We start from the raw sequence: 26,398 nt of genomic DNA on the forward strand, positions 1-26,398 counted from the left end.
CACATTCTCAGAACAAACAACAAGAATACGAATATTGATCCAAAGAATATAGATTAAGATAATTTGTTCAGCACTTACCTGCAGATGTCCTGAGTGGATGGACAGACAGACAACCTTGACTGGCTCCTGGGAGCTGTCCCTGTTGTTGGGCTGCTTGCCTGGAGAAACAAGTTAGATAATTTGGCATCTTGGTTAAGGTAATACATGGTTGATATCTTGCTTTTTTTCCACATATTTAAAAAATTACAACAAACGTGGCTGCTGGTCATGTTGCTTATAATGCAGAACAGAGAATATAGGAAGTTTGAGGTTGGTTTTGCAAAAGTAAAACTTATTTGAGGAACCTGGAACAGCTGAGATGCTGCGCTATTTTGCTGTTACTTCATTTACGAGAGAGGAAGATGATTCCACAAGTTTCTATTCTATTTACTGTAATCATTTGAGTGGAATAGCTCAATTTGCTTTGGAAACAAATGAATAATACTTGAAGATCCTATGATACATGGACTAAAGCACTATTATGTGACAAGGATAATAATAGTCTGAGAAGTCTAATCAAACAGCCATTAGGTTGCTAGATACTTCCTGAAGCTAACATCAAGGCCCCATGAGATATTTGAAAATACTTTGTAATATTTAAAAGCCTGAATTTATTGCTATTAAAATTTCATTAATGAAACTAATAAAATATATCCCTTGCAACACTATTGGCCTTTCATATCTTTTAACCCTATAACCATACTAAGTCTGAAAATAAGAAAGCCTGAAACATCAGATTATTAGCATAAAGTTGAGTGCATTTCACTAAAGTCCTACCTTTGAAACAGTATTTTCTTCACTCTATTTGACTTTAACCTGTTGTATTTAATATAGGTTATGATGATAAATAAAAAACTAGAATGTAGGGATAATTTTCTATGTTCCAGGCATTGTGCTGTAGCTTTATTTACTGTCTCTTTAATTCTACAATAATCTCACAAGTGGAAAGTAATAATAACTAACAGTTTTGAGTGAATAATATGTGCTTATCAGTGTTCTAAGCCATTTCCATATATTCATTAATGCTCACAATAAATCTTTGTAGTAAATACTATAATTACATACATGTTACAGCTGAGGAAACTGAAAAATTGGGGCTGCTTCTCACTGATAGGTGGTAACGCTGAGATCTGGACCAGGTATCTGGCTCCACTATGGGTGGAGATCTGGGTCCAGATTCAGGCCTGTTTGACTGCAGAGATGAAATGCACAATTTCGTCACCAAGAAAATAACAGTAAAGGTAAAAAGATTACCCCAAATTTCGAAGTCATTCTAAAAATTCTCATATTGGAACTATGTAATCATGATTCTGAAATCCAGAGAAAAAGGAACAAATTCTAACTCAAGAGATCAGGTCATATTTGAAGAGAAGGTATAGTAGGCTAAATAATGGTCCCCCCAAATATCTCAACATCCTAATCTTTGGATAGTGAATATTTTACCTTTTATGGTAAAAGGGACTTTGCAGATGTGATTAAGTTAACCATCTTGAGTTGAGGAGATTTATGCAAATTATACTGGTAAACCCAATGTAACCATTAGGATCCTTATGAGAGGGAGGCAGTAGAGTTAGTCAGAGAGAGAAGATGAAGAATATGAATAGAGGTAAGAAAGGAGGAAGATACTACACTGATGGCTTTCAAGGTGAAAAAAGGGAAACCCTGAGGAAGGTGGCATGGGGAAGCTTAAAAAGGCTAGAAAATGAGTTCTAGAGTTTCCAGAAGGAATTCAGCCCTATTAACATGTTGATTTTAGCCCAGTGGGATCTCTATTTGGCTTCTGACCTCTAGAACTATAAGACGACAAAGCCCCAGGGAAATGCAGATGCAGAGACTACTGGATCCCAGGACGTGATGTATTCTGGTGGTGGCTCTGCTCTCAAAATGGTGCCATGTTGCAGCAGGTTAGGTCCCAGGAGGTGGGGTGATCCCTATGATAGTAGTTATAGGAAATTAATAAGGAGGTAACGATCCAGCTAATCTTAAAAGGCAAATAGGAATTATTTTAAAAGCTTAAAAATATTTAAGGTAGAGGAAACCATTTGTTAAGAGACCTAAAGACACCACCAAAAAACTCCTGGAACTGATAAACAGATGCAGTAAATTTGCAGGATACACATCAACATACAAAAATCAATAGTGTTTCCAAACCCCAGTGAAACAAAGTAGATGAGAAAGAAATCAAAAGAGAAATCCCATTTATAATGATGACCAAAAAAACCCCACTTAGGAATAAATTTAACTAAGAAGGTGAAAGCTCTCTACAATGGAAAGTACAAAACAGTAATGAAAGAAATTGAAGAGGAATAAAAAAAAATGAAAAGATTCTGTGCTGATGGAATGGAAGAATTAATATTGTTGAAATGACCATACTGTCCAAAGCAATCTACAGTTTCAGTGCAAACCCTACCAAAATATCAAGCAAATTATTTGAAGAAATAGAAAAAACAATCCCAAAATTCACATAGAACCACAAAAGAGCCCAAATAACCAAAGCAATGTTGAGCAAAAAGAACTAAGCTAGAAGCATCACACTACTTGACTTCAAAATGTGCTACAAATTCATAGTAATCAAAAGAGCATGGCATTGTTATAAAAACAGACACATAGACCCATGGAACACAACAGGGAATTCAGAAATTATCCATGTATTTATAGCCAACTGATTTTCAACAAAGATGCCAAGAACTTACATTGGAAAAAGGACATCTTAATGATGCTTAGTAAACTGGATATCCATATGAAGAAGAATGAAACTAGACTTCTATCTTTCACTATATATAAAAATCAACTCAAAATGAATTAAAGACTTAAATATAGACCCAAAACTAAAAGACTATTAGGAAAAACATGGAGAAATCGCTTCAGGACATTGATCTTTTAGAAAAGTTTTTGTGGGTACGACTTCAAAAGCACAGACAACAAAAAACAAAATAGACAAATGAGACTACATCAAACTAAAAAGCAAAGCTTTCTCCTTGCTTGTGCAAAGGATTGTTTCCTCTGCACAACAAAGAAAACAATCAACGTAGTGAAGAGACAGTCTGTAGCATGGGAGAAAATATTTGCAAACCATACATCCAATGAGGAACTAATATATAGAATATACAAGGAACCCAAACAGCTTAACAGCAGTAATAAGAATAATCTGATTGTAAAATGGGAAAATGATTTGAATAGACATTTCTCAAAATAAGACAGACAAATGGCCAATACATATATGAAAAAGTGCTCAATATCACTATAATTAGAGAACTGTAAATCAAAGCCACAGTGAGATGTTATCTCACTCTCCTTAGGATGTCTATTATCAAAAATATAGCAAATGGGCATGGCGGTGCATGCCTGTAGTCCGAGCTACTTGGGAGGATGTGCTGGAGGCTTCCTTGAGCCCAGGTGTTTGAAGCTAGCCTGGGCAACATAGTGAGACCCCTGTCTCTGAAAACACACACACACACACACAAAAGTAACAAAATAAAATTCACCAGAATGTGTGAGGATGAAAAGAAATTGAAACTCATATATACTATTGTTGGAATGTAATTTAGTACAGACATTATGGAAAACAGTAGGGAAATTTCTCTAAAATCTAAAAATATTACTACCATATGATCCAGCAATCCCACTATACTGGGTATTTATTCAAATAAAAGGAAACCAGTTCGTCAAAGAGATATGTGAACCCCCATGATTATTGTAGCATTATTCACAATAGATATAGACTCAATCTAAATGGTCATCAGCAGATGAATGGATACAGAAAATGTGATATATATGCATAATACAATTTTATTTACTCATAAAAACGAACAAAATCATGTCATTTGCAGCAACATAGATGAGCCTGGGAGACAGCAGGTTAAGTAAAATAAGCGCAGAGGTAAGTATTGCATTTCTCACTCATTTGTGGGAATTTAAAAATTGGGCTCATGGGAGTAGAAATTAGAATTGTGGTCATTGGAGACTGGCAAGGATAGGGAAAAGTTAGTTAACAGATACAAAATTACAGCCAAGTAAGAGGAAGACATTTTAGTGGTTTATAACACCATAAAGTGAATATAGCTAACAATAGTTTACTGTATATTTTCAAAAAGCTAGAAGAGATGTTGGATGTTCCCCACAGAAAAATAATAAATGTTTGAGGTGATGGGTTGGTAATTACCCGATTTGATCACTACAAATTGTATACAAATATTGAAATATCACTTGGTATCCCTAATAATGTAAATTATTACACATTAAGTAAAAATAAGAATTTTTAAAACCTCACTTCATTCAAGTTTTTTTAAGATCAACTTCTTATTTTCATCTTTTGAACAGATAAATAGCTACTTTTTTAAAACATAAGAATATCTGTTCTCTAAGCAGTATATAATGTTGTTAAATTATACATTCTTTATTCTATGTATGGCCATAGAATCTAATAAAGAACTCTCTATATAGCAGGCACTGAGTAAAGGTCACCTGTGAAGTCTGCTACTTGCCCTCTTTGAAAAAAATTAATGCAGCCCAAGTGTCCTCAAATCACTGATGATGTTATTATGTATGTGAACCACGTGATGATGAGCATCATAATGGATACCTATGGCTATGAAGCTATACAGACAAAGATGTCAAAATAGACATGATCATAATAAAACAAATGTCATAATTCCACAGGTCTGAACAAATGTATGTTTTACAATGGGAAAATGATGGATCACTGAATAGTAACACAGAATATTTAAAACACACAGCTTTCCTTTGGAGAGTTTTTCTGTCCACCATCACAGTGAATCAGATAGCATTTATGTCTACAGCCCTTAAGTATTTTGAAGGGAATGGAAAACATTCCTTGTTGCCGAAGAATATTCAAATAGGTCATATCAAATATTCATTTGTACATGTTCCGCTTGCTGGTGGGCTGCCATAGCAGATACTGTGCCTGAATCCTCGGCCCTCTTCTGAGTTCACCTGAATGCTGACTGCTTCCCATGTCAGTGCCTGTGCCTATCTGTTTCTCTGCCCCAGGTCTTTCATTGTTCCATGTGCTTTTGCTTGGCTGCACACAGGCACAACCTGGAAGTGTGATAAGTTAATACGCCCGAGGACAACTCTTGGACTAGAGTCAGTGGATGGATGTTCTAGCCTCTTCACTCTTCAGAGGGGCGGTTCTGGGAAGTTCTGAGGTAACTTCCAGAGTTTCTGAAAGGTCTCAAGCTGGATGCAGGCCTAGTTTCCCCTATCTCAATAGCTTCTTAACATTTCCCTTTTCTCTGTCTTACTTTTCACATGTATTGCTGTCCTTTATGGGATCACTTCCTAGCCAAACTATCTGCACTCTGCTAAAATAGCATCAAAATTAAGACTGGGATTTAGTTAACCAGCTGCCTCTTGTTGTGGAACCCAGTTAAAATAAAATGAATCCTAGCTTGTTTCACTGTCGATTCATTTGCTCAGCAAACAAAAATTAAAGGTTTATTACATGATAGATAATATGATATACTCTGGAAATAAAGAAACAGATGGCAGCCCAAAGGGGCTTCTTGTTTAGTGGAGAGATTTAGATGAACTGGCAATTTTAATACAGTCTGGTATATCCTGATAGTGCCCAATAGTGGGGTTCTGATGAAGAAAGCACATCTAACGTAGAGTAGAACAGGGGTTTAATGTCAGCTTCCCAGAGAAGGAGACGCCTGTCCAACACAAGGTGAGTGTGACTCAAGTAGGGGATGGCAGTCCAGGCAAGGACAAGGATGTGTCAAAACACAGAGTAGAGAGAAGACGTCTTGGTATGGGATCTACAGAAAGTTTTGTAATGACTGGGAGAAAGATGTTGAGTGAGGTGAGAAGTGGTACATAGTCAAGATGAAAAAGTAGATGGAGGTTTTGAATGTTACATTGACGTGTTGGATTGCATCCTGAAAAGAATGAAAAGTTATTGCAAGTATTCAGCAGGAAATAGAACTTATTAAATCTGGGTACTAGAAAGGTCATTTTGGCAGCTGAGAATTGGAAGGTTCAGGGTTGTCTGAAAGCAAAGAGCAGAGTTAGGATTCCATATATCCAGGATGCAGTGAGGATGGAGAAAAGGGATAGTTTGAGCAATCAAATCCCAACAGGTTGTTTTATTTTAAGATATGGTAAAAATAATTTGAAAGATCAACTGAAAAAGTGACACAGGGGAAAAGATTCAGGAAAATTATTTAATAAAACTCAGTAGGATCCAGAAATGAGGATACTTTTACCAGACATCTAAATGTAGTATAATTCTAGAAATTAACAGAATATGCACGTGGCACAGGGAAAGACACATCATTAGAATAGAACTGAGAGGCTAGGAATCTATCTGTCTATATGTATCTTTCTGTTTCTCGGTACAGACAAATTTGCATCTCTAGTTAGTGGGAAAAGGTAGGTTATTAAAAAAATGGCGTTGACTGGTCATTTGGAAGAATGTAAACCTGAGTCTACTGGTTACAGTAAAGTTTAGGCAAATGCAAGATTTAAATACAGCAAAAAAAAAGACCCATCAAAGTATGAGAAAAACATAATTTATGTTTAATTAATGTTTATAATAGGTGGAAAAAATCCTTTTCTTATGATGATGTAAAACAAAATGTGATATAGGAAAACAGATAAATATGATGATCTAAAAAATAAAAACTTCTAATTTATAAAAAGGAAACACATACACCCATATACCAAAACCATCCTGGACAAAACCAGAATTCATAAATAATGCCTCATTTTATTGCATATATGATAGCCAAATAGCTAATTTCTCTAGTATTTGGAGATCTTTCACGGATCAAGAAGGAAAAGTTGATCAGTTTTACAGAAAAATGAGCAAAACAGGTAGGTAGTTCACAGAAAGGGAATTATACATGGCCAAAAGCCCTGTGTAAAAAGATGATCAATCTCAATAAGCAGATAAATGTAAATTCAATTAACAATGGTATCCACGTTAACTTATCAGATCAGCACATTTTAAAGAGATTGATAATACCCAGTGTAGCCGAGGTGGGGAAGCCACGCGTTGCTATATATTGTTGAAGTAACTGTAAATTGGTACAACTTATTTGGAGAGAAATTTGATAAACTCTATTAAAATAAAAAAATGTATACCATTAAAGTTGGAAATTCTACTCATGGGAATTAATTTTGCTGAAACATTTTTATAATTGTCCAAAGATATATTTACAAGATTGTTCATTACAGCATTATCTGTAATAGCAAGAAGTTGGAAACAACCCAAGTGTTAATTCATTATTTACAATGAAATACATAAGCCATAAAAAGAATGAGGTACACCACACACACACACACACACACACACACACACACACACACAGAGAGAGAGAGAGAGAGAGAGAGAGAGAGAGAGAGAGAGACACGCACACACACACACACATTTATAGAATATATTTTTAGGAGAAAAATAAAGTTTCAAAATTGTATACAGTGTCATCTTGTTAGGGTAAATAGTGCTTTATTGCTATCTGTTTGTGTATGCACAGAAAAAAATCTGGAAAAGTACACATCTAGCCATTAGCAGTGATTATACCTGTGAGTTGGGATCATTGGAAACCTTTATTTCTCAGGCTGTATATTTCGTAATGTTTAAAATCTCTAATTTAATAATGAGAAAAGTAATTCTTTGGTCACGTTGATGATGTCATAAATGACAACTACTAACATCAAGAATCAAGATTTGTGTTTTGTTCTCCACTATTTAAGTGATAAACTCTTTGCTTATTTAAAGTCTTAGAGCTCCACTTCCCCTTTCATTAAATGTAGTCAATAATAACATCCACATAAAAGGATTGTGAGGATAATAACATGAAATCATTGATCTGATAACTGTTTTGTAGAGTGTCTAAGAGTTGTAATAGGACACTGATCTTGAAATACTATAATTCTTTTTACTAATTCTCAGTATGTCATTTTTTTCTCCCCACACATGAACTCAATGGTATTCTCCTGTTCAGAAGGAAGACACATAACAGTCTTAGACCAGTAACTCTCAATCCTGTCTAAAAATAAGAATTGCTGGGAAGTTTTTAAAAAATACCTTTGCCCAGGTTGATGATTCTAGAATCTGTGAGGAATGGACCTGTAGCACAGCATCTGGATGTCAGTATCCTTAAAAGCTGCTCCAGTGACTGTAACGCCCATCCAGAGTTAGAAACCACTGGTTTAGGTTAAAGGAGATCCTATCCTACTTAGAATTTTGTATTAGATTTTTTTCTGAGATTTCAGTGAGAGAATATTTGTGAAAGCTTGATTTTTTTAAACAAAGAAAACTGTGTTTTCTAAATTCCCAATTTTTGCTTTATATATCTATAAGAGATCTTGGAGTTCTGGGCATAATTTTACTACAATCTATAGAGAAAGGAGACAGAAGGTACGACTGAAGAAAAATTTGCAGCATACAGGAACACTGGGTCTCTGCTTACTACTACTTGCTGCTGAAGAGCAGGACAGGAGGAGAAAAACAAAGACTGAAATTCCACTGCCTTTACTCTCCATTTATCCACCCTGGGTTGAATGTGGTTTGGGCAGAGGGTGTGGGGGTAGAGAAGGGTATGAGGAAGACTCACCAGGATATTTCTGGGGGAAAACCAAGAGCACGACTCTTGTTCTTCCCTTCCTGGGAGGACTATGTGCCTTTCAGGCCAGCTTCTCAGCCAGCATGGGCAGTGCCTAATGTGGCACCGGTGTCTTAGGGTAGGAGTGACTGAGGCAGATGGACCTGAGATAGTTCCCTCCCACCCCCAGCCTGATGTGGGGTTAGAAAATCTAGACATCTTCTTCTGCCTTTCTGGGTTGTGTAAAAGGCAGCTGAGATTGCTTACCCAGGGAAGTAACCAGGGGTCACCAGAGTTAAAGTTAATGTGACTTTATAACAGAAAGCCACAGAAAACACTACCAAGCAGAGACACTTGGCATTGTCAGTGACAGATGAAATGGGTTGGAAGGCCAGGGCCTGGCTTGACAGTGACAAGAGAACTGGCCCCCGATCCACCAGCCAGGAGCACTGTAGCAACAGGTCTGGGAAAAACCTGGAGGGCAGAACTCTAAACAGAAGTCCCTGCTCCAGTATATCAGGAAATGGAAGGGGAATGGGAAGAAACCCTAAAAAACTGAATGTGATTAGCTTCTAAACTGGTAGAAACAGATCTTTTGAAAAAAAAAAATCAAACATTTCATTTCCCACATCTACAGTAATAGGAGCTCAATAAGAAAAGACTGAGATCACTTTGAGAAAATCACATGCTTTCCTTCCTTATATTGTGCAAAATTTACCACACTACCCACTGAGGGTCATCTAAGATTCCTAAGTAACTATACGTAGCAAACATCTGCACCGTGGGCTGATTAAAATATTTAGTTGTAGGAGAAAGTTATCTCGATGCCGAGTTTATAATTTTAAAGGAAGACTCAGGCCAGACAGCTAAACGTGGAAGAGGGTGGCATGGCAAGTTGCCTAATGCTCCTTTTGGCACACCAGAATTTGGAAGGAACTGAACATCTTCTCAGAAAGGGAAAGCCAAGTAAGTCTTCCTTTGACAATTCACAACATTAGGGGAGTGGCTTAGAGCAAGGCTAGGCCCTTTCAGCAGGTCAAATAGCAAAGATGCAACTAGTAATGCAGAATCTAGCCTGTCTTGAGAGGCCCTAGAAAGCCAGCAAGTGGCACTACACTGGTATGCAGAGGACAAGCTCAGCCAGGAGACATTTCCTACTGAAACATACAGTTGGAAAGAGAGTTGGAATAATGACTGTCATCAGGGAGGGCAAGGCAGGAAATCTGGTTTGAAGTACTAGCCCATGTCACCTCCCATTTTTCAACAGAAATTGCCATGCATTCCTAGTAATATAGACAAGATCCAAGAGAAGTTTTGTTGGCAGCGCAGACTGAAGCACTAGGATCAGGAGATGATAAGGCTAGTTCTGAGAGCAAGGACCATCTCCCTGGGTAATGACTAGGGACCATTATGCAAAGGAGGTGAGGATCCATTATAGTACTCAGGCTTCCTAGTAAAATGTAGGCATTCTGGCAGCTACAGAAACAGATTCAGGCAGTTGTCTCTGGTACACTGGGTCACGACTTCTCAGTCCACTTCTCATATCAGCTGTAGCACTGGTGAACAGTTCTTTATAAGTGCCAACTAATGTTATGGTGAAAATGTCCTACATTGTATGAGTGCCACTTACCTTCTACTTTTTATTCCTGATTCTATGAGAATCCACGTTTCTTGCACAAGCCTAAATGGGACGGCGTTAACACCTCTAGGGACAACTCTCAATAATGGGGTCTGAGAGCTTGTGGATAAGAGATCCATCTCATTGACTTTCAGGTGGAAAATTCTAAGAGATACTTTGGATATTTCTCAGGTGTCCCTTTGGAATCAGCTAACTTCATTAGTTACAATGGAAGTAACTAATTACTAAACTCCTTACTAATTTCATTACTGTCTTCAAAATGTATCCTTAAATTAACTTTTTTTCTGCATTCTTGTCTCATTTTCCCTACCCATTCATTTATAATCCCGGGGTGACTTCCTAAATCCCCTACCTGCACCAACATCCTTGTCACAAGCAGTGCTTTGAGGAGAACCCAAACTGGAGAGAGAGGCAGTTGATACTAGAAATAGTGCCAGAAAGCAGATCCACAAGACAGAATTTAGGAGCTAGATCACTCACGATCAGGCATACCAGGCATACCTTTGCTGTTGGTGAATGGGATGGTGATAATACCTCGTGAACCGTAACATCACAATTACTGGGTTGGATGAGGTGCAAGTGGGTGGGGAAGCATGCAGTATCCCAAGAATATGTATAGGAAGGGCCAATGGTAATTGTAAGGCTATGCAGTTGTTAACTGTTCCAAGGCTTTGGTTAACTGCCTTGGAAACATCTGTGAAAGACAATGGCAAGTTCAGCTGAGCCAACTATCAACCGAGAATGCTCCGTGAAACCCTGTGCACAAGTGTAGCCCCAAGTGCAGAGGTGTTATTCCCAGGCAATCCTCAACCAAGAGAGATCAGGCGTTGGAGGATAAATGCGCCAACACCCATTCCTTCAAGCGGTCAATTCTTGGAGAGCTTCTTTACATTTCTTAGATTCTGCTCAGTCAAGCCCTGTTGCCACATCAGTGACTGCTGTACTATACCTTTTATTGACTTCTCCTCCTTTACTGTCTCACTGCCTTTTCTCTCTCACTCCTGCTGCCTAGAAAACACGTCCCAAATAAACTACTTGTAAAAGTTCTTGTCCCAGGTTCTGCTTCTGTGAGCACATAAACTCAGACTAATCCTCAGACCACTAGAGGATTAGGGAGAGATGAGGTCCTCAGCATAAGCTGCACATTTGGAATATAAATTGGTTGACTGTTGCCATCACACCTAATGGCCTGGACTATCTCCTGTGCTCTTGTAGCTTTATATATTCCCCATTACCTGAGTGTCCTAGTTGTAGGTCTAGTGTCCAACCTCAGTCTCACTGCAAACAGATCAAGTTCCAGAACTTGGCCTTTCTTTCAATTCAATGCAGTTAATTGTTGAGAAATAGGAAAATATTATTCTCACAGTTCTCATTGCCTTCAACTTTTCTTCTTTTTTATCTGTACTCAAGATCTCAGAGCTTTGAGATTTATCCTCTGAAGTTACAACCCCAGTCATTTCCTTTCCTTTATCAAAAGGCTTCAGTGGTTTCTCGTTATCTAACAAATTAAATACAAAAGACCAGTTTGGGATTTTAGAGCCCTATATTCTGGAACCCATCTACTTTTCTGGTATTAACTTCAGCAATTCTTTTTAATTCCAGGATTCCAGCAAAACCTAGCTCATTTTATATTCCCAAACACACCCATTCTTTTATTTTTATGCCTTTACTCTATAGACAAAACAGAGCATACTCTTGGAATTTCCCTCAAGGTCCAGTGATGGTTCCTAGCTTTATGTACACCCATTTTTCTTTAACTGCATGGGCCCTTTTCAACTTCTACTATGGTGTTAATCTTGCTCTAGCATTTATTTTATCACCTGTATTACTGTCTAACCATTTCCAAATTGCCACAATGTTTTATAGTTAATCTTATTTTGTGCTTCACTACCACTTTGAGAAAAAAAGGCCACAGTCATACTGATTTTGGAAATCTTCCTAGTGTCTTGTGTGTAGTAGGTAGCTAATAAAGAGTTGTGCGGTTGAATGGAGTGTGGTAATAGTAGAATTGAGTTGAACTGAACTTGGTAATAGTTGAACCAAGTTGAACTGACCTGGGTAAATCCTATGCTGATTGCAGTAGAGATAGAGATGACAATCGCATCACAGCGAACAAAAAAGAAAGGGCTCCATTCTCCTCTGTGGAAGTGGCAATTCTACACTGTAACAAAATGAATGAACTCAGTCCAAAGTTTTATGTAAGTCATGAGGCTCTTTCTTTGGACTTCAGAGTCAAAAAACACATCAAACGGAAGTTGTATCTTCTGCTTTCTTTGTAAAGTATGAATTTCTATTTAGGAAATACCATAATTTTATTATGTGGAGAAGAGTATGTCCTTTAACAATTTTGAAGCTGGAAGGGTCTTTTTAAAAAGAAAACACTGTAATTGAGGATAAAATGAATTAATGTCTTTTAAACACATGGCCCTATTCAGCAGCAATGTATTGTTTTAATTTGCTAGTTGGTACATTACGAGAGCTTGGTAATTTGTTCATCCCTTTATTAGGTGTAAGATTGAAATGGGGCTGGGAAGGGAAAAATAACAATTGGCTGGATGAGCAGAATAATATGTTCTTTGAAATGAAGCATTCTTTGTAATGGATGTTTATTTCAGATGATTACATTGTACAGTGCATTCAAATGGGAAAAACAAACAGGAGGCCAGCTGCACTAATTTTATCAAAGTTATTTATATCAGCAGTATAATTAAAGGCAGTAATTTCAAATTAGGTTTTCTGAAAATCCATTTATAGACAACACAAGGCAACTTGTCTTAGTGGCATCTAGGCCATGATTGTGCTCTAGGGGCAATGTTAACTATTGCCAATTGGCCTTGGCATTTTGAAAATTAATTACGGTTTCAAAAGATTCTAAAGTGGTTGCTTCCTGGTGCCCTGACCAGTTTAGATCCAATCCACTAGGAGAACCCAATATATAATTTATGAGTGTGAAAAAGAATAATCGTGCATAATCATTTACAAATGGTTTCTCTTATTTAGTAACACATTAATTATACTCTGTAAAGAATGATTTTAGAACTTCAGATGGGAAATACTGCTGCAGAAGATTCTTTTTTTAAAGCCCCATTAATATCTGTGATAGTTCATGAGTAACAGGTTTGAGAATTAGGTATTAAATGAAATATTAAAACTAGTTCTAGGGGACCGGGCACTGTGGTTCATGCCTGTAATCCCAGCATTTTGGGAGGCCGAGGCGGGTGGATCATGAGGTCAGGACATCGAGACCATCCTGGCCAACATGGTGAAACCCCATCTCTACTAAAATACAAAAAATTAGCCTGGCATGGTGGTGTGCTCCTGTAGTCTCAGCTACTCGGGAGGCTGAGGCAGGGGAATTGCTTGAACCTGGGAGGTGGAGGTTGCAGTGAGCGAGATCATGCCACCGCACTTCATCTTGGTGACAGAATGTGACTCCATCCCAAACAAACCCAAACCAAACCAAACCTAGTTCTAGGGAACAGAAATAGGCCAAAAATGATCTGAAAGAGTCTTTTTGGTTGTGAAAAATTTATTTAATGTCTAATAAAGATAAATTTTTAGAATGTACTTATGAAATCTCAGGACTAGATGGAAGTTTATAAAGATGACCTGGTCTAACCCTCATCTGATACTATTATCCCATTTATAATTATACTATTATCTCATTTATAATATTTCCAACAGTGGTCATTTGGCCTCTGCTTGAGGCCAATGACAGGAAATTCACTATCATCTGAGAACATCTCTTGCATTTTTAGAGTGCTCCTAGTATTTTACTGAAGTCAGTATTTTATCATCCTAGTATTTTATTGAAGTCAGTTTCTTTGTGGTTTCTTCCACTGCTCCTAGTTTGATCTCCAAAGCCACACAGAATCTGCTTAATGTCTAAACCTTTCTTCGATAGCATAGCCCTTTACTGCTTATTAATTCTCATATATACCCTATTCTTGCACCCCACACTTGACCCTCTTTCTGCCTTGTATTAGTTTAGGGTATACATTTGGAGCAGTGAGTAAGTAATTTTATCAGAAACAAAGGATGTGGGTGACAAATTGGTAAAGAAAGATTTTAGAAAATGTTGGGCCTTCGATGTCAGGTTAAGTATCGTTCAATCTTATTTGATATGTAATCAGTGAAGGGTTCTGACTTGGAGATAAAGATGATGACAAATGTTCTTTAAAAAGAGTAGTCTATAGGAAAAAAAAACCCTAAAAATTTAATTTATAATGCACTAAAACCATAAAATACAATCTAACTCAGCAGTGGGAGAATAGAGTGTCTAGAAATAGATCCACACAATTATGGTCAATTAATTTACTACAAAGCTGCAAGATAACTCAATGAGGAAAGGAATATGTTTTTTTTTTAAGATGGTGCTAGAATAAACACATAGCCACATGCAAGAAAATGAATCTCAACCCTTACCTTACCAGATGTTAAAAATTTACTTGAAATGATTCATAGAACTAAACACAAAAGCTAAAACTAAAAAACTCCTAGAAGAAAACACAGGAAAAATCTTTGTGATCTTGGAGTAGAAAAGATTTTCTAGATGAGGCACTAATAGCACAAATGATAAAATAAACTGTTGATAAATTAGACAATATAAAAATTAAAAAAATTGTTGTTTGAAAGATACTATGAAAGAGAAAATGCAAAGTGCACATTAAATAAAAACATTGTACTCAAAATATAGAAATAACTCTTACACACTTGTAATTCAATAATAAACAGACAACCTAATAAAAATGCTCTAAAGATTTGAGTAGCCATTTAAAAATATATGTAATCCAGCACATAAACAGAACCAACGACAAAAACCACATGATTATCTCAATAGATGCAGAAAAGGCCTTCCGTAAAATTCAACATGCTAAAATCTCTCAATAAACTAGGCATTGATGGAACGTATCTCAAAATAATAAGGGCTATTTATGACAAACCCACAGCCAGTATCATATTGAATGGGCAAAAGCTGGAAGCATTCTCTTTGAAAACTGGTACAAGACAAGGATGCCCTTTCTCACCACTCCTATTCAACATAGTATTAGAAGCTCTGGCCATGGCCATCAGGAAAGAGGAAGAAATAAAGGGTATTCAAACAGGAAGAGAGGAAGTCAAATTGTCTTTGTTTGGAGATGATATGATTTTATATTTAGAAAACCCTATTGTCTCAGCCCAAAATCTCCTTAAGTGGATAAGCAACTTCAGCAAAGTCTTAGGATACAAAATCAATGTGCAAAAATCACAAGCATTCCTATACATCAATAACAGACAAACAGAGAGAGCCAAATCATGAGTGAACTCCCATTCACAATTGCTACGAAGAGAAAAAAATACCTAGGAATACAACTTACAAGGGATGTGAAGGACCTCTTCAAGGATAACTACAAACCACTGCTCAAGGAAATCAGAGAGGACACAAACAAATGGAAAAACATTCCATGCTCATGGGTAGGAAGAATCAATATTGTGAAAATGGCCATACTGCCCAAAGTAATTTATAGATTCAATGCTATCCCCATCAAACTACCAATGACTTTCTTCACAGAATTAGAAAAAAACTACTTTAAATTTCATATGGAACCAAAAAAGAACCCATATAGACAACCCTAAGACAATCCTAAGCAAAAGAACAAAGCTGGAGGCATCATGCTACCTGACTTCAAACTATACTGCAAGGCTACAGTAACCAAAACAGCATGGTACTGGTACCAAAACAGATATATAGACCAATGGAACAGAACAGAGGCCTCAGAAATAACGCCACACATCTACAACCATCTGATCTTTGACAAACCTGACAAAAACAAGCAATGGGGAAAGGGGTCCCTATGTAATAAATGGTATTGGGAAAACTGGCTAGCTATATGCCGAAAGCTGAAACCGGATCCCTTTTTTACACCTTATACAAAAATTAACTCAAGATGGATTAAAGACTTAAATGTAAGACCTAAAACCATAAAAACCCTAGAAGAAAACTGAGGCAATACCTTTCAGGACATAGGTATGGGCAAAGACTTCATGAGTGAAACAGCAAAAGCAATGGTAACACAAGCGAAAATTGACAAATGGGATCTAATTAAACTAAAAGAGCCTCTGCACAGCAAAAGAAACTATCATCAGAGTGAACAGGCAACCTACAGAATGAGAGAAAAGTTTTGCAATCTATCCATCTGACAAAGGGCTAATATCCAGAATCTAAGGGGGCTAGGGGAGGGATAACATTGGGTGAAATACCTAATGTAGGTGAAGGATTGATGAGTGCAGGAAACCACCGTGGCACGTGTATAGCTATGTAACAAATCTGCACGTTCTGCACATGCATCCCAGAACTTAAAATATAATTAAAAAATGGATTTCTAATGAGTATATAAAAAGTGCCTCAAGTCATTAATCATCAATGAAATGCAAATTACAGCCACAATGACATACCAGTATATAACCATTAGAAGAGCTACAATTAAAAACATGGCAATATCAAGTACTGGCAAGGAAGCAGAGCAACTGAAAGTTTTGTACATTGTTGGAGGAAATAATTTCGCAGTTTCATATAAAGTTAAATAAACCTACCATATAACCTAATCATTCTTTTATATACTTACCTAAGAAAAATTATGTCATATGTCTACCCACATCATGATTCATACATGAATGTTTATAGATGGCAGTTTATTTACAATAGGCCCAAACTGTAAATAACCAAGATCTTCAACAGGTAAATTGATAAAACAAAATGTGGTATATTCACACAATAAAATACTCCTCAGCAATAAAAAGAAAAAACTATTGAGATATGCAAAAAATAGAAGAATCTCAAAATAATTATGCTGAGTGAAAGAAGCCAGTTACAAGAGTATACAAGCATCATTCTATTTATGAAATTCAAACAATCCAGAGTGACATGAAGCAGATTAGCGGTTGCTGAGGACAGAGGTGGAAAGAGAGATGGATAGATTTCACAGGGTTCCAGAGAATTTTTGGGGAGTTGATAGAAATGTTCTACGTCTTGATTGCAGCAGAGTTTTAATCAAAACTCATTGGCTTGAACAATTTAAAGGGAAATGGTCTATTGTCCTATCCATTCTACTTAAAGTACTTTAAATTTCTCCTAAATAAATTTGATAAGAATAAAGTTTAATTTGGCTATAGTGTGCAAAATGGATTGTGGTGAGAAAAAACAGACCGGAAGCTATAGAAGCAAAGCATATTTCTATGTTCAAGGTGAGATATTATTAATGTCTGTTGTAGAGTATGATAAAGGAAATGTTAAAAATTAGAAGAACAAAAGAAAAAGGGAAAGAAGAGAGAAATGAAGAGAAAGATGAATACAAAAAAGGAAAAAATTGGTAGTGCAGAAAAAGTTGGAAAGAAAAAAGCTGAGAGAATGCCAGAAGAAATGCAAGGAAAAAGGAAAAGAAGGAAGATGAAAGAATAGAAAAGAGAGAAGGAAAGGGAGAAAAAAGAGAAATGATATTTTTGTCCATACATGTTGTATGTTGTGGAGAGGAATGTAAGTGTCTGTGGTTTTGAAACAGTATGCACTACAGGAGTGATTCCCAGTTTCATAGAATATCAAATTATTTAACTTAGCTACTTTGCTAAGTTGGTTTTCAAAGCTGGACTTTCTGAGACATGAAGCATATTAGGTATATCTTAAACTAGAATAAAATATATTTATGAAGATTTAAATATGTAACAGAAAATAAGTTGCAGAACTTTTTTTTTTTTGAGATGGAGTCTCTATCTTCTAGACTGGAGTGCAGTGGTGTGATCTCGGCTCACTGCAACCTCTGCCTCACAGATTCAAGCAATTCTCTTGCCTCAGCCTCCTGAGTAGCTGGGATTACAGGCGCCTGCTGCCACACTCAGCTAACGTCTTTATTTTTAGTAGAGATGGGCTTTCACCGTGTTGGCCAGGCTGGTCTTGAATTCCTGACTTCAGGTGATCTTTCACCCTCGGCCTCCCAAAGTGCTGGCATTACAGGTATGAGCCATGGCGCCAGGCCAAGACATTCTTATAATGTGGCAAGATTGTCTATTGGTTTGAGTATTTCAGGAACAGTGCCAAAAAATAGTCAGATAATTTAGAAAACCTATCTGTATACCTCTTCTGCATTTTGCCTAAGAATAAGTTTCAGGGAATATACAACTTACGTAAATATAAACAATACACAGATACAAACAATACAAGATAAAGTTTAATTAAGAATATATTTAAGAAACTCCTAGAAGAAAAACATAGGGAAAAACTGTATGACATTGGATTTGGCAATGATTTCTTACATATGATACCAAAAGCATGGGCAGCAAAGGTAAAGAGATAAATCAGCCTACATCAAAATTTTCAAAAACTGCGCATCAAAGGACACAACAGGATGAAAAGCCAACCTACATACAGAGAAAATATTTACAAATCATGTTAATTATTGCAAATGGCCAAAGGATTGTATAGACATTTCTTGAGAGAAGATACACCAACGGCCAAAAAACACATGAAAAGATGTTGAACATCACTAATAATGAGGGAAATGCAAATCAAAACCACAATGAGATATCTCACACCCATTAAGATGGCTACTATAAAGAAAACAGAAAATAACAAGTCTTGGTGAGGATGTGGAGAAATTGGAACCCTTGTGCACTATTGGTGGGAATGTATGGTGCAGTTACTCTGGAAAATATAGGTAGAATTACTCTATGATATGGTTTGAATATTTGTCCACTCCAAATCTCATGTTGAAATGTAGGGGGAGGAGCCAAGATGGCCGAATAGGAACAGCTCCGGTCTACAGCTCCCAGCCTGAGCGACGCAGAAGACGGGTGATTTCTGCATTTCCATCTGAGGTACCGGGTTCATCTCACTAGGTAGTGCCAGACAGTGGGCGCAGGTCAGTGGGTGCATGCACTGTGCGCCAGCCGAAGCAGGGCGAGGCATTGCCTCACTCAGGAAGCGCAAGGGGTCAGGGAGTTCCCTTTCCTAATCAAAGAAAGGGGTGATGGACGGCACCTGGAAAATCGGGTCACTCCCACCCGAATACTGCGCTTTTCCGACGGGCTTAAAAAACGGCGCACCACAAGATTATATCCCGCACCTGGCTTGGAGGGTCCTATGCCCACGGAGTCTCGCTGATTGTTAGCACAGCAGTCTGAGATCAAACTGCAAGGCGGCAGCGAGGCTGGGGGAGGGGCGCCCACCATTGCCCAGGCTTGCTTAGGTAAACAAAGCAGCCTGGAAGCTCGAACTGGGTGGAGCCCACCATAGCTCAAGGAGGCCTGCCTGCCTCTGTAGGCTCAACCTCTGGGGGCAGGTCACAGACAAACAAAAAGACAGCAGTAACCTCTGCAGACTTAAATGTCCCTGTCTGACAGCTTTGAAGAGAGCAGTGGTTCTCCCAGTATGCAGCTGGAGATCTGAGAACGGGCAGACTGCCTCCTCAAGTGGGTACCTGACCCCTGACCCCTGAGCAGCCTAACTAGGAGGCGCCCCCCAGCAGGGGCACGCTGACACCTCACACTGCAGGGTACTCCAACAGACCTGCAGCTGAGGGTCCTGTCTGTTAGAAGGAAAACTAACAAACAGAAAGGACATCCACACCAAAACCCATCTGTACATCACCATCATCAAAGACCAAAAGTAGATAAAACCACAAAGATGGGGAAAAAACAGAACAGAAAAACTGGAAACTCTAAAAATCAGAGCGCCTCTCCTCCTCCAACGGAACTCAGCTCCTCACCAGCAACGGAACAAAGCTGGACGGAGAATGACTTTGACGAGCTGAGAGAAGAAGGCTTCAGACGATCAAATTACTCTGAGCTATGGGAGGACATTCAAACCAAAGGCAAAGAAGTTGAAAACTTTGAAAAAAATTTAGAAGAATGTATAACTAGAAAAACCAATACAGAGAAGTGCTTAAAGGAGCTGATGGAGCTGAAAACCAAGGCTTGAGAACTACGTAAAGAATGCAGAAGCCTCAGGAGCCGATGCGATCAACTGCAAGGAAAGGTATCAGCGATGGAAGATGAAATGAATGAAATGAAGCGAGAAGGGAAGTTTAGAGAAAAAAGAATAAAAAGAAATGAGCAAAGCCTCCAAGAAATATGGGACTATGTAAAAAGACCAAATCTACGTCTGATTGGTATACCTGAAAGTGATGGGGAGAATGGAACCAAGTTGGAAAACACTCTGCAGGATATTATCCAGGAGAACTTCCCCAATCTAGCAAGGCAGGACAACATTCAGATTCAGGAAATACAGAGAATGCCACAAAGATACTCCTCGAGAAGAGCAACTCCAAGACACATAATTGTCAGATTCACCAAAGTTGAAATGAAGGAAAAAATGTTAAGGGCAGCCAGAGAGAAAGGTCGGGTTACCCTCAAAGGGAAGCCCATCAGACTAACGGCGGATCTCATGGCAGACACCCTACAAGCCAGAAGAGAGTGGGGGCCAATATTCAACATTCTTAAAGAAAAGAATTTTCAACCCAGAATTTCATATCCAGCCAAACTAAGCTTCATAAGTGAAGGAGTAATAAAATACTTTACAGACAAGCAAATGCTGAGAGATTCTGTCACCACCAGGCCTGCCCTAAAAGAGCTCCTGAAGGAAGCACTAAACATGGAAAGGAACAACCGGTACCAGCTGCTGCAAAATCATGCCAAAATGTAAAGACCATAGAGACTAGGAAGAAACTGCATCAACTAATGAGCAAAATAACCAGCTAACATCATCATGACAGGATCAAATTCACACATAACAATATTAACTTTAAATGAAAATGGACTAAATGCTCCAATTAAAACACACAGACTGGCAAATTGGATAAAGAGTCAAGACCCATCAGTGTGCTGTATTCAGGAAACCCATCTCATGTGCAGAGACACACATAGGCTCAAAATAAAAGGATGGAGGAAGATCTACCAAGCAAATGGAAAACAAAAAAAGGCAGGGGTTGCAATCCTAGTCTCTGATAAAACAGACTTTAAACCAACAAAGATCAAAAGAGACAAAGAAGGCCACTACATAATGGTAAAGGGATGAATTCAACAAGAAGAGCTAACTATCCTAAATATATATGCACCCAATATAGGAGCACCAAGATTCATAAAGCAAGTCCTGAGTGACCTACAAAGAGACTTAGACTCCTACACATTAATAATGGGAGACTTTAACACCCCACTGTCAACATTAGACAGATCAACGAGAAAGAAAGTCAACAAGGATACCCAGGAATTGAGCTCAGCTCTGCACCAAGCGGACCTAATAGACATCTACAGAAGTCTCCACCCCAAATCAACAGAATATACATTTTTTTCAGCACCACACCACACCTATTCCAAAATTGACCACATAATTGGAAGTAAAGCTCTCCTCAGCAAATGTAAAAGAACAGAGATTATAACAAACTATCTCTCAGACCACAGTGCAATCAAACTAGAACTCAGGATTAAGAATCTCACTCAAAACCGCTCAACTACATGGAAACTGAACAACCTGCTCCTGAATGACTACTGGGTACATAACGAAATGAAGGCAGAAATAAAGATGTTCTTTGAAACCAACGAGAACAAAGACACAACATACCAGAATCTCTGGGACGCATTCAAAGCAGTGTGTAGAGGGAAATTTATAGCACTAAATGCCCACAAGAGAAAGCAGGAAAGATCCAAAATTGACACCCTAACATCACAATTAAAAGAACTAGAGAAGCAAGAGCAAACACATTCAAAAGCTAGCAGAAGGCAAGAAATAACTAAAATCAGAGCAGAACTGAAGGAAATAGAGACACAAAAAACCCTTCAAAAAATTAATGAATCCAGGAGCTGGTTTTTTGAAAGGATCAACAAAATTGATAGACCGCTAGCAAGACTAATAAAAAAAGATAGAAGAATCAAATAGATGCAATAAAAAATGATAAAGGGGATATCACCACCGATCCCACAGAAATACAAACTACCATCAGAGAATACTACAAACACCTCTACACAAATAAACTAGAAAATCTAGAAGAAATGGATAAATTCCTTGACACATATACTCTCCCAAGACTAAACCAGGAAGAAGTTGAATCTCCGAATAGACCAATAACAGGAGCTGAAATTGTGGCAATAATCAATAGCTTACCAACCAAAAAGAGTCCAGGACCAGATGGATTCACAGCCGAATTCTACCAGAGGTACAAGGAGGAACTGGTACCATTCCTTCTGAAACTATTCCAATCAATAGAAAAAGAGGGAATCCTCCCTAACTCATTTCATGAGGCCAGCATCATTCTGATACCAAAGCCAGGCAGACACACAACCAAAAAAGAGAATTTTAGACCAATATCCCTGATGAACATTGATGCAAAAATCCTCAATAAAATACTGGCAAAACGAATCCAGCAGCACATCAAAAAGCTTATCCACCATGATCAAGTGGGCTTCATCCCTGGGATGCAAGGTTGGTTCAATATATGCAAATCGATAAATGTAATCCAGCATATAAACAGAGCCAAAGACAAAAACCACATGATTATCTCAATAGATGCAGAAAAGGCCTTTGACAAAATTCAACAACCCTTCATGCTAAAAACTCTCAATAAATTAGGTATCGATGGGACGTATTTCAAAACAATAAGAGCTATCTATGACAAACCCACAGCCAATATCATACTGAATGGGAAAAAACTGGAAGCATTCCGTTTGAAAACCGGCACAAGACAGGGATGCCCTCTCTCACCACCCCTATTCAACATAGTGTTGGAAGTTCTGGCCAGGGCAATTAGGCAGGAGAAGGAAATAAAGGGTATTCAATTAGGAAAAGAGGAAGTCAAATTGTCCCTGTTTGCAGATGACATGATTGTATATCTAGAAAACCCCATTGTCTCAGCCCAAAGTCTCCTTAAGCTGATAAGCAACTTCAGCAAAGTCTCAGGATACAAAATCAATGTGCAAAAATCACAAGCATTCCTATACACCAACAACAGACAAACAGAGAGCCAAATCATGAGTGAACTCCCATTCACAATTGCTTCAAAGAGAATAAAATACCTAGGAATCCAACTTACAAGGGATGTGAAGGACCTCTTCAAGGAGAACTACAAACCACTGCTCAAGAAAATAAAAGAGGATACAAACAAATGGAAGAACATTCCATGCTCATGGGTAGGAAGAATCAATATTGTGAAAATGGCCATACTGCCCAAGGTAATTTACAGATTCAATGCCATCCCCATCAAGCTACCAATGCCTTTCTTCACACAATTGGAAAAAACTACTTTAAAGTTCATATGGAACCAAAAAAGAGCCTGCATTGCCAAGTCAATCCTAAGCCAAAAGAACAAAGCTGGAGGCATCACACTACCTGACTTCTAACTATACTACAAGGCTACAGTAACCAAAACAGCATGGTACTGGTACCAAAACAGAGATACAGATCAATGGAACAGGACAGAGCCCTCAGAAATAACGCTGCATATCTACAACTATCTGATCTTTGACAAACCTCAGAAAAACAAGCAATGGGGAAAGGATTCCCTATTTAATCAATGGTGCTGGGAAAACTGGCTAGCCATATGTAGAAAGCTGAAACTGGATCCCTTCCTTACACCTTATACAAAAATCAATTCAAGATGGATTAAAGACTTAAGCGTTAGACCTAAAACCATAAAAACCCTAGAAGAAAACCTAGGCTTTACCATTCAGGACATAGGCATGGGCAAGGACTTCTTGTCTAAAACACCAAAAGCAATGGCAACAAAAGCCAAAATTGACAAATGGGATCTCATTAAACTAAAGAGCTTCTGCACAGCAAAAGAAACTACCATCAGAGTGAACAGGCAAGCTACAAAATGGGAGAAAATTTTTGCAACCTACTCATCTGACAAAGGGCTAATAGCCAGAATCTACAATGAACTCAAACAAATTTACAAGAAAAAAACAACCCCATCAAAAAGTGGGCGAAGGACATGAACAGACACTTCTCAAAAGAAGACATTTATGCAGCCAAAAAACATATGAAATAATGCTCATCATCACTGGCCATCAGAGAAATGCAAATCAAAACCACAATGAGATACCATCTCACACCAGTTAGAATGGCAATCATTAAAAAGTCAGGAAACAACAGGTGCTGGAGAGGATGTGGAGAAATAGGAACACTTTTACACTGTTGGTGGGACTGTAAACTAGTTCAACCATTGTGGAAGTCAGTGTGGTGATTCCTCAGGGATCTAGAACTAGAAATACCATTTGACCCAGCCATCCCATTACTGGGTATATACCCAAAGGACTATAAATCATGCTGCTATAAAGACACATGCACACGTATGTTTATTGCAGTACTATTCACAATAGCAAAGACTTGGAACCAACCCAAATGTCCAACAATGATAGACTGGATTAAGAAAATGTGGCACATATACACCATGGAATACTATGCAGCCATAAAAATGATGAGTTCATGTCCTTTGTAGGGACATGGATGAAATTGGAAATCATCATTCTCAGTAAACTATCGCAAGAACAAAAAACCAAACACCGCATTTTCTCACTCATAGGTGGGAATTGAACAATGAGGTCACATGGACACAGGAAGAGGAACATCACACTCTGGGGACTGTTGTGGGGTGGGGGGAGGGGGGAGGGATAGCACTGGGAGATATACCTAATGCTAGATGACGAGTTAGTGGGTGCAGCGCACCAGCATGGCACATGTATACGTATGTAACTAACCAGCACAATGTGCACATGTACCCTAAAACTTAAAGTATAATAAAAAAAAAAATTAAAAAAAAAAAAAGAAATGTAATCCCAGTGTTGGAGGTGGGGCTGGTGAAAAACGTATGGATCATGGGGAGGATTCCTCATGAATGGCTTAGTCCCATCGTCTTGGTGATGAGTGAGTTCATGTGAGATCCAGTTGTTTAAAAGTATACGGCACCTACCCTCCCTCTCTCTCTTGCTCCAGCTCTCACCATGTGAGTACTAACGCCTGCTTTGCCTAATGCTATGATTGAAAGTTTCCTGAGGCCCTCGCCAGAAGCTGAGCACATGCTGGTGCTGTGCTTCCTCTACAATCTGGAGAACCAAGAGTCAATCAAATTACTTTTTTTTAAATTACCCAGCCTCAGATATTTCTATATAGCAACACAAGAAAGGAAAATAATTCCCCTTCTGAGTAATTCCACTCCCGGGTATCTATCCAAAAGGATCAAAAGCAGGATCTCTAATAGATATTTGTACATTCACATTCATTGAAATGTCATTCGCAATAGCCAAAAGGTGAAAGCAACCCATTGTCCATCGATGGATGAATGGATAAACAAAATAAGGTATGTATACGTATATCTATATTATCTATACACACACAATAGAATATTTATTAGTCTTAGAATAGAAATCTTGTTACATGCAACAACATTGTTGAAACTTCAAGACATTATGCTAAACAAAATAAGCCATTCACAAAAAGTCACATATAAGTCTATGATTTTACTTACATAGGGTACCTAGAGTCACCAAATTTATATATAGAGAAAATAATAGTTCCCAGAGACTGGAGGGCAGTGGGGGATGGGGAGTTATTGTTTAATGGGTATAGAGTTTCAGTTTTACAGGAGGAAAAGAGTGCTGGAATTTGATTACACAACAATGTGAATGTACTTACTACTTAACTGTAACTGGTTAAGATGGTAAATTTTACTTTATGTGTATTTAACCACAAATGGGACACAGAAAATCAGAGCAGGAAAGATGAGATTTATTTCTTTGAGTACATAGCTGAAACCATAATCCATATCAGGTTGTAATTTTTATAGTCCCTGATACAAATAATTACATGAGTTGCACTGTCCGTAATATAAAAACAAGCTGCACAATTAGAAGAAGCACATTGCTGGTACTGAGACCAGAGAGAAGTTTCATCTTTGGGTGATTCTTCGAGAGAAACAGTGGTAAACATTTATGTTCAACATGATTTTTATAATGAGTAAAGCAAGGAGTTTCCAACACATGTTCTTTATTATATTTTGATGGCATAATGCCAAAATAAAATTCAGTGTAACAGAAAAATTTTTACTTTGACATTATGCCTTCAGAAAATAGTAATGAACATGTGTGTTGGAACGTTTTTGTTCTGTTCATTATAAATTATGCTTAGCTCCCT

The 26,398-nt window shown here is 37.9% G+C and overlaps 1 protein-coding gene across 7 annotated transcripts in view; it reads right to left on the reverse strand.

Annotated features, from left to right (window-relative positions):
- The window catches only part of MARCHF1 (membrane associated ring-CH-type finger 1), an 859,722-nt gene that overhangs the window by 88,938 nt on the left and 744,386 nt on the right, over positions 1-26,398 (reverse strand). For 6 of the 7 annotated variants that reach the window (XM_017008336.2, XM_017008335.2, NM_001166373.2 and 3 more), the window contains one exon: positions 79-158. In XM_017008336.2, coding sequence (XP_016863825.1) covers positions 79-158 — 80 coding nt within the window. Of the gene's footprint in view, positions 1-78; positions 300-26,398 lie in introns of those variants that run through there. The other variant, NM_017923.4, reaches the window with a different exon arrangement.

This window comes from Homo sapiens, chromosome 4 (assembly GCF_000001405.40).
Source record: "Homo sapiens chromosome 4, GRCh38.p14 Primary Assembly".
Taxonomy (NCBI): Eukaryota; Metazoa; Chordata; class Mammalia; order Primates; family Hominidae; genus Homo; species Homo sapiens.